The following is a 14243-nucleotide window of genomic DNA, read 5'->3' as shown; positions in this document are numbered from 1 at the left end:
CTCCTTGCATAATTATCTTATAATAAGCTTGCATTTACATTCCAGAGACTACAGTAAAAAAGAATTTAAATTTTCCAGAAATATTCTGTGGGCTGTGGTAAACTTATCCAACGATGAGTTCAAACAGTTAATTTCCTGGGAGGTATGTGAGGGGGGGATGGAGATGAGGGGACGGTATAAATCTTTTGGTACAAAATCTTTAAATCTATGATATAAAACATATTAAATTCCACTTCTATATATAACGTATCTTGAAACAGAAGTAACAAGAAGCATGTTATCTACCAAACCTTTCTATTTATTAATAATCACTTCCATGCATTAATGCCTTCACCATTCAACAAATTTAAAATTATAAAACTGACCCTTTCTATTGCAAAATACTGAGAATTCTTCAAATACGTTTTTATAATCACGTAAGTTTCTAGTAGATTGGGTCACAAAATGAGACTGTTTTCTCAATTCAAGGATTCACTGTGTACATTTTCAGCCCTCAGTGGCTTATGTCCAGTGCAGAGCTCATCAGTACTGTCCAAAGATGAAATTATGAGAAATTTTTAAGACTATAATGCTGCCTGACAAGACCCTGAAGTGCCTTTGAAGCTTCATTGACAGATAGAGTCAGGCTAAAGTGAAAGAGGGCAAGTTTCTCTTCAATATTCCTCTTTCAGATCCCTTCCCATGGGTGGGGAGTCTCTCACTAAACATCCAGTCCTACATGGATATGCACAGGATGCTGCAATCCAATTATCCTAAGTGGGGCGAGTCTACACCAGATAACCTGATGAAGTCATCTGTGTTGGGATATAGGAAAAGTTCTCCCAGAGCCCCCAAGCTCAACCAAGGACTTCTTCAGTCTGAAGTAATGTTTGTTTTACCAGTGGCTGCAAGCAAACAAAGACACTACAAACAAAGCTCCCACTGTCTATTCCCTCATGGGTGGGAAAACCAAGCCCAGTGAGAAAAGAGGGTTGACTTATGGTGTGTCTGGAGATTGTGCAAGGTCTTGCAAAGTTTACATCTTATGTGTGGATGCCTGGTCCACTTGACACAAACATCTCTGCCAACAGTTTTAGACTTGAAGTTAGGAGTGCTCTACCTTTCAAATCATATTGAAATGCATATACATATTCTACAAAGATTTAATACTTTGTGACTTGTAAATGTCAGGTCATATCAGAAAACTTACACTGAAATTGTCTCACTTTTCAGAAAACAAAAATTCTTTTCAAGTTTTCTTTTTTTTTTTTTTGTAGGGTTCTGAAAAAAGGTTGAGATTGTGTTTCAAAGAGTACCATGAAGAAACACACAGTTTTAGCATTGCATTAGAGCAATCTCACATGGAATATTCCCAAACAAAACGGAGTTCTCTAATACTCCTTAGTTCTTTCCTTTTCTGTCTTTCTTTTCTTTTCTTCCAAAAGCAAGGAAGTGAATTGTGAATATTTCTTACAAGAAATGCTGAGCTAGTTAATTTCTGATAATTATAAAAGCATGGGTGGCCACTAGTTCAAAGAAAATCTTTCCCAGATAAAACCAATTATGAGCAGAGACTTTAACTGTGTCCCTTTATCCACTGCCAAAATGCAGTATCAATAGGACAGAATGTGAAAGCGGCAGCTTTCATATGAAAGGTACTGAAAGTATTCATCTTTTGGTAGTAGTTCTGCCACCACATGGAATTGAATAAAAGGAAAGAGAATTATGCGCATCAAGTTGAATTATGCAACTGGAGAGCAAGAAAGGCAAATCATAACCAGATGTGTATATGCCTTTTTTTTTATTCTTAAATTTTAATTGATATCACCACACAGCCAACGCACTCTACTGGCATTATGAAGTAATTAAAAATAATACAAAAGAAAAATTGACTAACATATATTATCATTTAAGTAGAAAAGTATTTACAGCAGAGAAATACTATCAGAAATGTCTTTAAAACATCAGTATTAGGCTGAACCACATGCAATTGATATTTTCTTATGTTAAAATGTTCAATATTACCAGAATTGTTGAATAAGAGCAATTTCATATGGTTCAACCTAATATATAATTTTCTTCCTATTTTAAAACGGCAGCCTATTTTGTTCTTTGTCATCATCACTCAATGGAACAAAATACATTGACTTAATTTTATTTTATTTATTTAAGTTATTTAGCTTTTTTAGCCACCTCATATGGAATTCCATAAACACATGAATCAATTAATGTTTCTTTTTTCTACCTTTAAGAATTTTTTTAAAGTTGCATATACAAAAATATCTCATTACTCAGTCTGAGTCTATTCTCAGCTGTCATGGGGCACTTTAAGAGAAACGTTTATCTATTTGTGATGATGGTAAAAGGAGGATGCTCTTCCCCATTTGAAGAAGTGGATCAGCTCTGCTTTTATACCCTTCTACAAAATGCTGACGTAAGCAAAGTGACAGCCTTTCTCCCTTTGGTACCTTGAGGGGCCCAGAAGTAGGCATTTTTGGCTTATTGAGGGGATTGGAAGATCTTAGAGGGAGGACTAGGAGCTGTGGGAGTGGGGTTGATTGAAGCTTTACACTAATGGAACTAGAGGGCAAGAGCAAAGCCTATCTGTGGATGATCATCCCAGCTCTGATCAGAAACACCTCTAGGTGTTTAGAGAGAAAATTTAGTGCTAGAAATGAAGGTAAAGTTCAAAGATTAGAAGTTGGCTTATTTTAGGAACAGTGTTGAAAGGAAAGAAGAAGAAAGGGTGAAGAAGAGGAGCAGAATGGGACTGAGTTGAAAGAGAAAAAGAACTTGGCCACTGAGTGCTGCCTGTACAAGTGAGTTTAAAAATATAGCACTAGGGATGGGAGATGGAGAGCAGACAGTCGTCATCCATACTCCAGAGCTTAGCAGCTAGAGGAGAATCAATATCCAAACAAATGTTTAGCTATGCTCAGGACAACTGCAGTTGGCTCCCACTATAGGGGCAGAATTTCAGTGGCATTACTGAAAAAAATTCACATTCCCAGTGATAATCTACTACACTCAACAATTGGAAGTGTTCTATTTGCAGTTCACATAAAAGCAACACAGCACAAAACTCTGGACAATTTCTCAAGAGAAGAACTTTAATAACTCTTCCTAAATTAGAGTCAAAGGTCAGAGACAGTCTGGCAGTTACCAAGAAAACAGTTCTTTCCCAGAGTTCAGTATAAAACTAACCCAGTGTAGAAATACTAGAAAGCGGTTCAATATTTCAGTAGCCAATTTATCGTATTAACTAAATTCTGTTCCTTCTGACCACTTTCTCACCTTGCATTGTTATTCGTTCCTTTCTGTTCCAAGATGAAACCTTGAGTAGATCCCATTTGTCACATTCATTTTCAATTAACAAGTAGCCTTATTTCTCAGATAGCACAAAGCAAAGCTTAACCTCTCATTAAGCTTTGAGAGTTAGATCGTTGCCTGACCTAGGTTATAAAGCCTACAGTGGAAAAAGAGGGCATGCTTATCCTTTTTTTCAATTCCTCCCAACTGTACTACTTATCCCCTTTTGCTATGTTCTTTTATGGCTCTTCCAGGATTGGAAAGCAGGGAAAGGCATAAGGGATGTAAAAAAATGTTATTTCTTAATGAGTTCTTTGGCGCTGTCATCTGTGGGGACCCCAACATGGGCTAGGTCTTCCTGGGCAACCCATTTACAATTAACCCCCCAGTCTCTAACTTCTGGCAGTCCATCACAGATGCTTTCCACAGGGGTTCATTCATCCCTTCTGATGGGTCTTGTGAATGAGGTGCCTTAAGAAATTTAGACACATTTGTCCTATCCACAGCTGGCCCTCAGAACACCACACCTATCTCCTACAATTATTCTGCCTCCAGGGCAGGGTCAAACTCACTGTTGGACTTTCTCAAGATGAGTCAAGTAACAGTCACTCTGTCCCTCAAACTCCACATCAAATTCTCCAAGTGATCCTCTGATTGTCTGCCATTTTTACCTAGGGGTGGCAGAGGTAGATTGCACAGCACAATGACAACTCTAAGAGGATTCTTACTAAAGGCTTAAAGATCAATATTCTGGCCTCCACTTATATACCCTGGAGGTAGGTGATGAGCTAAGAATCACAGAGTCAGTTGTCTCTTTCTTCACAATGTAATTATTAGCTAATCTTGCAGAATCTGGAACAACTGTCTGAGTTCAGGACACTGTTCTGGGACCTCAGACAAGATACTTAATTTCTCAGTGTCCTTTTGTATAAAGTACTGAAATCTATAATAAATAAAAGCAATAGCTACAGTATAAATTTGTTTTAAAAATTAAATGCATAAAGTACATAGAACAGTGCTCGGTGTCCAATCATGAGGAAAACTGACATTATGTGCCTTCTGATATGATGCACAGAGAAGTATCCAACATCACCAATGTAGGGTTCTTGCCAAAAACCATTTAATCTCAATCTAATCATGAGGAAACAATGAATCAAATCTAAATTGAAGTGTAGTCTACGAAACAACTACAGCCTATATTTTTTAAAAATACCATCATCATGTCAGACCAAAAAATTGAGATGGGGAAAGAGAAGCTGGAAAACACTTCTGGATTAAAAGAAACTAAAGGAGCTTGACAACTAAATGCAATGCATAATCCTTGATTAAATCATGGACTGCATTTTAAAATTAACTATAAGCCAAAAATAAAAATCTAAGCCCCCTCAACCGATGGAATGGACCACCCCTTCCCTTGGTGAAGGGCATTCCAAAGTAAACCTAAAAAACTAGTTCAGGTCATTATGGGAAGGGAGGGTTGGACATGCCTCATTATACCCTCCTCCCTTGGGAATTCAGACACTTCTGACCAGCATTAACATTAAAACAGAGATCTTCAGACTGACCAAACTGACTCTTTGCGGCAATAAGATACATTGCAAAATGACAGATCCCAGGCCCTGAAAGAAATCAGAAGTATTTTACTCCCAAATATATTTCTTTGACATACTTTTAAATGGCCTTGAAAAGCTGTCTCTTGTGGGGTAAATTTACATTCTGTAGAGAATCCCATTCCCTTTCCAGTACTTTCCTGATGTAAGAGAGATTTACTGAGTCTGGCATCTTTGAAGGTCTGGTAAAAAACATTTACCGTCTATTCTCTCTTAAGCCTGCTACCTGGAGGCTTCATCTGAATAACAAAAACCTTGATCTCCATATCCCCTTATTGTATCCCAGATATTTCTTTTTATTGATTCTAGGTCTTTAGACAATAACTCAACGACTTGCCAATCAGAAAATCTTTGAATCCACCTATGACCTGGAAGCCCCTGCCCCACTTCAAGTTGTCCCACCTTTCCAGACCAAAACAATGTGTACACCTTACATGTATTGATTGATGTCTGCTTGTAACTTCTGTCCCTCTAAAATGTATAAAATCAAACTGTAACCCAATAATTCTGGGCACGTGTTCTCAGGACCTCCTGAGGCTGTGTCATGGGCATGTCCTTAACCTTGGCAAAATAAACTTCTAAATTGATTGAGATTTGTATCAGATACCTCTGGTTTACAAAACAAATAAACACAAAAAGAAAACCAGATAAAGGGCCAGGCGCGGTGGCTCACACCTGTAATCCTAGCACTTTGGGAGGCCGAGACAGGCAGATCACGAGGTCAGGAGATTGAGACCATCCTGGCTAACATGGTGAAACCCCGTCTCTACTAAAAATACAAAAAATTAGCCAGGCGTGCTGGCGGGCGCCTGTGGTCCCAGCTACTCAGGAGGCTGAGGCAGGAGAATGGCGTGAACCCTGGATGCAGAGCTTGCAGTGAGCGGAGATGGTGCCACTGCACTCCAGCCTGGGTGACACAGTGAGACTCTGTCTCAAAAAGAAAAAAGGAAAACCAGATAAAGGACACAATCAGGGTAATCTTGGATATTTAAATATGAACTGAATATTAGAGAATAATACTGTATCAATTTTATGTTTTTTCAGTTACAATTGTGTTGTGATTATGTAGAAGAATGTCCTTGTTCTTAGGAGACATATGCTGTAGTATTTAAGGGTGAAGTGTCATGATATCTGCAGCTTATTCTCAAATACTTCCTCAAAAATTGTATTAAAAATAAAAAGAATAGTGCCATCCACATCATAAATCTTAGAACAATACCTGACACAATAATCAGTAAGTGTAAGCTCTGTGTTATTAGCACAGACAGCTAGAAAACAGAGAAAAAATACATTTAAACCTATTACATGAATGTCAAATTGAATTAACGCAATGAATCATGAATTTTCTAGGCCAACACCCTCTTTACCCACCACTCGCCATTCCCAGCATCCACCCCAATTCCATGACTTCAGTGGCTGACACAGCCTGCGCTCCTATAACTTTTTTTCCTTCATCCTGACGGGTCCCTGTAACTATTCTGTCCCTGTCTATTAGTATACTTTCACACTGCTATAAAGATATATTGGAGACTGAGTAATTTATAAAGAAAAAAAGCTTACTTGACTCACAGTTCACATGGCTGGAGAGGCCTCAGAAAACTTACAATCATGGTGGAAGGGGAAGCAGGCACATTTTACATGGCAGCAGATGAGAGAAGAAGACAGAGCAAAGGGGGAAGAGCCCCTTATAAAACCATCAGCTCTTGTGAGAACTCACTCACTATCATGAGAAAAGATGGGGAAAACTGCCCCCATGATCCAATCACCTCACACCAGGTCCCTTCCTCATTACCTGGAGATGACAATTCAAGATGAGATTTGGGTGGGGACACAAAGCCAAACCATATCATCCTGGCCACCTTCATTCCAGCTGTAGAGATGGAACCCACTCTGCTGCTTTCCATCTCCAACTTTGCCCTTCCTCAGCTTCCCCACTCTTTTCTTCAGACCATGCCTCCAACAAATATAGTTTCTAACCTTCTAGTTTACACTTTGGTAGCTAATATGATCAGAAGAATATCTTTTCTAGTTGTGCTTTAATCTGTAACATTTTGATTCACAATTGACTTATATTAGAAAATCTTTTGAACCTTAAAACCCATGCAGTAACTTGGCTTAGATACCTTTGAGGCTACACCTTACACAACAACTTAGTGGGTCTCAAACTTTTTAGTCACAACTTCTATGTATCTATTCATTAATTCAATTAAAAATAAACTGATTTCATGTTAATTGAAATAACATATTTTATGAAAAATATATTTTTGAAAACAAAAATATTTAGTGAGATCAGTGGCATTATTTATCATTTAAAAATCTCTTTAATGTCTGACTTAGAAGATAGCTGGATTCTTTTTTAAAAATTTGTGGTAAAATACACATAACATAAAATTTATCATTTTAACGTGTACAATTTGGTGGCATTTAGTACATTCACAATATTGTGCAACTAGGATCACTATCTAGGTCCAGAACATTTGTAGCTTCTCAGTGGGAAAACCTGTAACCATTAAGCAGTCACTTCCTATTCCTCCCTCCTTATTCCCTGGCAACAACTAATCTGCTTTCTGTCTCTATGGATCTGCCTATTCTAGATTTTACAGTATAAATGGAATCATGCAATGTGTGTGACCTTTTATGTCTCACTTCTTTCACTTAGCATAATATTTTCAAGGTTCATCCATATTGTACCATATAGCAGTACTTCATTCCCTTTTACGGCTGAATAATACTCAAATTGTATGTGTTTACCACATTTTGTTACCCATTCATCTGTTGATGGACATTTGATTTGTTTCTACCTTTTGGCTATTACGAACAGTGCTGTAATTAACTTTATGTACAAGTTTTTGTTTGAACACCTGTTTTCAATTCTCTTGAGCATATACCTAAGAGTAGAATTGCTGAGTTACGTGGTAATTTTATTTTTCACTTTTGAAGAATTGCCAAACTGTTTTCCACAGCAACTGCACCATTTTATATTCCCACCGATAATGTATGAGAGTTCCAATCTCGACATCCTTACAAATATTCATTTTCCATTTAAAAAAATTGTGGCCAGCCTAGTGAATACAAAGTGGCTTCTCATTGTGGTTTTGATTTGCATTTTCCTAATGACTAAACGATAAGCATCTTTTCAAATGCTTTTTGGTCATTTGTATATCTTCTTTGTAAAAATACCTGTTCAATTCTAGGCCCATTTTTCTTTTTTCTTTCTTTCTTTTTTTTTTTTTTTTTTGAGACCAAGTCTTGCTCTGTCGCCCGGGCTGGATTGCAGTAGTGCGGTCTTGGCTCACTGCAACCTCCACCTCCTGGGTTCAAGCAATTCTTCTGCCTCAGCCTCCTGAGTAGCTGGGACTACAGGCATGTGCCACCAGGCCTGGCTAATTTTTTGTATTTTCAGTAGAGACGGGGTTCCACCGTGTTAGCCAGGATGATCTTGATCTCCTGACCTCATGATCGGCCCTCCTTGGCCTCCCAAATGCTGGGATTACAGGTGTAAGCCACCGCACCTAGCCTGGCCCATTTTTTTAATTGAGTCATTTGTCTTTTTGTTGTTGAGTTGCAAGAGTTCTTTATATTTCTGAATACGAGACAACATACATATTTACAAATATTTCCTCCCATTTCATAGGGTGTCTTTTCATTCTCTTGGTAGTGTTTTTGATGCCCAAAAGTTTTTAGTATTGATGGAGTCCAATTCATCTATTTTTCTTTTTGTTTTTTATTCTTTTGTGTCATACTTAAAAAGCTATTGCCAAATCCAAGATTATGACTGTTTATGTCTATGTCTTCCTCTAAAAGTTTTATAGGTTTAGCTCTAATTTTTAGGTCTTTTTCCAGGTTGAGTTAATTTTTGTATATGTTATGAGGTAGGGGTCCAACATGGTTCTTTTGTGTGTGGATATCCAGGCGTCCTATCATCATTTGTTGAAGAGATTATTCTTTCTCTATAGAATGGTCTTGGCATCTTTGTCAAATATCAATTGACCATAGATGCATGTTTTTATTTCTGAACTTTCAATTCTACAATATTAATCTATATGTATATCTGTAAAGGCTAAAGCAACTTAATCTTGGATGCTAATCTGCCCTGTTGACTTCTGATTGACCCCAGTTCCAGGAATGCCTCTAATATTTTCATCTTATCTACTGCTCCTGTGTAAGAGCATGTACTTACTACAAATCCTGTCCTTAGGTCAAAACAACCTTGACCATAAATCCTGTGCTTCAGGAGATTACTATGGCATTCTTGCCTTTCTCTATAGTTGTCCTATACATTCCTTCCCTATGGTATATTATCCCTGAGGAGTGAAGGTGCTGATATCCACCATCTTGTCTCACCACCACCGAGACACAGACATGATTGTCTTCATAAATCCTTAATCATGTTTATTTCTGAAAAACTGGATACCTTATTTTCTTTCTTTGGCCTTTCAGCTTCCTCAGACTTTTAAGGGTAGTCTTGCATAGACCTGCCACCATGGAACATCCTTATGCCAGAACCACACTGTTGATTATTGTAGTTTTGTAATAGGTTTTGAAATTCAAAAGTGTGTATCCTCCAAATTTGTACTTCTTTTTCAAGAGTATTTTGACTATTCAGGATCTTTGCCATTTTATATGAGTTTTAGGATCAGTTTTTCAATTCTAAAAAAATGGCCAGTAGGATTTTGATAGGAATTACATTGAATTTGTAGATATTTGTAGGAAGTATTGTCATCTTAATGATATTAATTCTTCCAATCCATCAACACATCATGTCTTTCCATTTCTTTAGATATTCTTTATTTTCCCACAGCATTATTTTGTAGTTTTCAGTGTACAAATCTTACATCTCTTGATAAGAGTATATTCTTAAGTATTTTTTGATGCTATTACAATCTTAGTTTCTTTTTCAGATTGTTCATTGTTAGTGTACAGAAATACTAGTGATGTTGTGTGTGTGTATCTTGCATCTTTCAAGTTTACTGAAGTCATTTATTAGCTGTAATGACCAGTAAATTCTTGTATTTGCTCCGAATTCAGTCTGTTGTTATATGTGGTTTTGGCTGAAGTAGATGAAAAAAATCTGGCCTCATGCAGATACATAGTTGGAATAGGGAAAAGTACTTTAATAGTTTTTCAGACAATTGTGAATATTCTTCTTTGATATTATACCAAGACTCAGTGATAGCTTCTTAAAGGTAAGTTGCAATGTAGCATTTGAAGCTCTGAAGGAAAAAATGAATTTCAGGACCCCAAACTCACTATGCCCAAGGCAAAGTTAAGCTTGAGAACTGAGTGACACAAAACTTGCCTTCCTTTTTTGTCCAAACAGAGAGCTGCCATTTCACATGCTTACTTTATCTTGTGTAAAATGTAAACTTATGGAACACAAGAGGAATACAAATTGACTTTTCGCCTACCTCCTTCTTTTTGCATGTAAAACATGGATTCACTGAGTGCTATTCAGAGTGGTTACAACAATGTAACCACTTCCCTCATTGCCTATCCATCCTCCTTTTTTTGCTTTCCCTTCTGCTTGTTATTTTCACTTTAAATATTGATGTTTCCAAAACCTTCTTTGGAAAAAGCACAAGTAACAGATCTTACTGTAACTTGTGTTTCTTTTTCCTAGGCACATCCTCAATTTTGGCAAAATAAACCTCTATCCAATTAGATTTGCCTCTGTCAATTTTTGGTTAATAAAACTATAGCAATAAGTTTTTTTTTCTTCAAATCAGTCACATTAAAATCCTTGGCCTTACACTTTAAATGGATCTTTTATCTGTGCATGATTTTTTAGCATCTTACTTTACTTATTTGGAAAATATTGTTCCCTGAGTTATGGAGATGTTCCAAGTCTTGACAAATTTCAATATATACGATATTTGAAAAATTACATTATTGATATCACCGCTAATCTCATCACAAAATCCTTTCAGTTTTGGGAAGCTGCCAACCCTCATAGAGGCAATAAACGTTTTCTAAAATTCTAATTTCTGCTTGAGAACTTGAGTTTTATCAATGGTAGCAACTACTGTCTTTTTTTTTTTTTCTGGAAGTAACTGGCTTACTTTGCTCATTTTCAATAAACTGTCCATCAAATATCCAAGTCTTATTGATCATATTTGGTTTGTCATTGTTTTTGAGACAGGGTCTGGCACCCAGGCCGGGATCCAGTGGCATGATCACAGCCCACTGCAGCAACAACTTCCCAGCTTCAAGCAATTCTCCTGCCTCAGCCTACTGAGTAGCTGGGACCACAGGCATGCGCCACCATGACCAGCTAATTTTTTTAATTTTTTATTTTTGTAGAGATCGGAGTCTCCCTGTGTTGCTCAGGCTGGTTTCAAATTCCTGGGCTCAATTGATCCTCTCACCTCAGCCTCCTAAAGTGCTGAAATTACAGGCATGAGCCACTGTGCCCAGCCAACCATAGTTTTTCTGTCAGTCATTCTTTCTATTAAAAATAGTGTCCTTTGATAAAAACGGTTTGCTCAGTTCCCAACTCAAACAAGGCCACCAGATTTTTTTTCTTAGACAACCATATTACTTTGACATGCAGCAGAAGAACTTCATGTGCATTTCCCGTTTCATCAGAAAGAATAATAAAAGCCATATATTCAAGGACTGAGATTGATTTATTTATTTATTTTGAGACAGACTCTCACTCTGTCGCCCAGGCTGAAGTGGAGTGACACGATCTCGGCTCACTGCAAATTCCGCCTCCGGGGTTCAAGCGATTCTTCTGCCTCAGCCACCCAAGTAGCTGGGACTACAGGCATATGTCACCACGCCCAGCTAATTTTTGTATTTTTAGAAAAGACGGGGTTTTGCCAGGTTAGCTAGGCTGGTCTCGAACTCTTGACCTCAGGTGATCCACCCACCTCAGCCTCCCAAAGTGCTGAGATTACAGGTGTGAGCCACTGCATCCTGCCTCCAGGACTGAGATTTAATACAATAAATATATATTTACTGCTTAATCAAGGAACACTTTTAAAGTGGTATGTGGTGTTCCTCTCCAATTTGAGTCAACCTCCCTTTTGCCTGAGTTACTGCAATTGCCTTTTTTTTTTTTTTTTTTTTTTTGAGACAGAGTCTTGCTCTGTCACCCAGGCTGGAGTGCAGTAGCACGATCTTGGCTCACTGCAAGCTCGGCCTCTCGGGTTCATGGCATTCTCCTGCCTCAGCCTCCCGAGTAGCTGGGACTACAGGTGCCTGCCACCATGCCTGGCTAATTTTTTTTTTTCTGCTTTTGTTTCAGTAGAGACGGGGTTTCACCGTGTTAGCCAGGATGGTCTAGATCTCCTGACCTCATGATCCGCCCGCCTCGGCCTCCCAAAGTGCTGGGATTACAGGCATGAGCCACCGCATCTGCCTGCAATTGCCTCTTAACTGATCTCTCTGCTGCTGCCCTAACCTTCCTATTAAATTCTTTTAAAAGGTAAATGATGACCTCCTCTGCTCAGAACCCTCCAGTTGTTTGCCGTCTTGCTCAGAGTGAAAGCCCAAGTCCCTGCAGTGGCTAACAAAGTCCTATCCCATTTGGCTCTCTGTGGGCTCATCTCCCATGGCTGTACAAGAGTAACCTGAGTGCAAGTGATAACCCAGTGAACAAGGCAAATAACTTCTTAGAATTATTGTGAAAGTACTTGAGGACCCTACTAAGGAGTCTTGGGGATTGGCAGGGGTTCTGAGATCATACTTTGACAACACCTTGTATAGTTATCAAAATGTCAGTTTTGCGCAGACTGCCTTAACTTTATACATGTTGAAAGTGGTTGTTGTTACCATTCTTATCATAATCCTTGCTTGTGTTTTCCAGTCCTTTAGCAATGCATTTGAGTGCTGTCATTACACACATACAACAAGCAACAGCAGTCTCTACTTGTAGTTTTTATGAAACCAGAATTTTAATGAGTAATGGCAGATATTGAGAAAAAGGTGAACAAGGCTCATGGGAGGTAACACAGAGCAGGAGGAAAAAATTTACTATAAATCCTTTTGTCTATTTTCACCATATTCATTTCGAAACTCTATCCTGTTCAGTTGCTAAAACCAAATAAAGTCAAAGGGCTAGCGTATCTATTTTATTAGAATAGATTACGCAATGCTTTTATGGCTTTGCCTTACAAGCAATCCTAATATTTGTATACAGTAAAGCCATTCTTTTTAAATATAATGCCTTCTATTGCATCAGCATTACATACAATGCCTATAAACATTATCTTATACAAAGCCAGGAATAACACACAAGAAATTTTCCTTAGAAGATTGGTGTAGTAATATTTATCTTTCAATGAAATGACTGAAACAATAGAATTAGAAATCTTTATAAAACAAGTGTTCATTTATATTGTTATGTGATATATAACCAAATCTGTAGTATGATCTTAAGGACAGGGTAATAAAAGGAAAGTTAATCAAGTTTCAACTAATATAAATTGATTATTCTACAAAATAACAGATTAGATTTTAAACTGAAAAATACTCCAAAGAAAAATAAGTACTTTTCAAAACAACAAATCAAAGAAATGAGCTTCTGTATGTTTCTTACTAACAGATTGCTCATTGATTAGTATATACATTTCCAAACACATTTTTCTGCATGGAAAGGAAGGAAGCCTCCACGACCCTTGCTATATACCCCATCAAGTAAGTCCAAGTGTAAAATGTTTTTTGAAATCAGCAGGCATTCTTTGCTTCAAATAATTCTGAAGGGATTTAGAAGCCAGATAGGATTAAGGCTTGGAATAAGGGGAAAAAATTCAGCTCAATCTTAACTGTAAATAAAAGAAAACATGGTGAGAGGGCAGAATGGAAACTTTACTTAGATCCAACAATTGCTACAGTGGTAAATCTGGCTTATTTAGAATTAATGTGGAAAACAGGCCCTAGTACAGAGTCACTAATCAAAGTATGCAAGAAGGAACTAGTGAAAAATATCTTTAAAACTAAAATTGAGCATCCTCATAGAGTCGGGGGCTTTGAAAAAATTCTTAAATCAAGTATTTTTAACCCACATCAATGTGATACTTGATGTTTTTCCCTAATTTGAGACATCTTCCCTCTTGCCTGAATTACTACAATTTCCTCTTAACTGATCTCCTTGCTGCTGCCTCCACTTTCCTATGGGATCCTTTTAAAGGGTAGATGATGACCTCCTCTGCTCAGAACCCTCCAATCGTTTCCCATCTTGCTCAGGGTGAAAGCCCAAGTCCTTGCAGTGGCTGACAGAGTCCTTTCCCATTTGGCTCTATCTGACCTCTTCTCCTACTGCTCGCTGCTTCGGCAATCTGCTCCAGCCATGCTGGTATCTTTGTTGTTCCTCCAATACTCTAGGCACAGTTCCTCTCTCAG

General features: G+C 37.8%; 1 annotated feature.

Annotated features, from left to right (window-relative positions):
• Positions 4715 to 5456: an enhancer, noted in NCBI's record as "OCT4-NANOG-H3K27ac hESC enhancer chr5:89838485-89839226 (GRCh37/hg19 assembly coordinates)". NCBI's record gives its function as "activates a minimal SCP1, AML or CMV promoter by ChIP-STARR-seq in primed H9 embryonic stem cells {active_cell/tissue: H9 hESC(primed)}" and the evidence as "EXISTENCE:reporter gene assay evidence [ECO:0000049][PMID:30033119]".

Source organism: Homo sapiens, chromosome 5, assembly GCF_000001405.40.
Source record: "Homo sapiens chromosome 5, GRCh38.p14 Primary Assembly".
NCBI classification, from domain to species: domain Eukaryota; kingdom Metazoa; phylum Chordata; class Mammalia; order Primates; family Hominidae; genus Homo; species Homo sapiens.
This window is presented reverse-complemented; position numbering and strand designations above follow the sequence as displayed.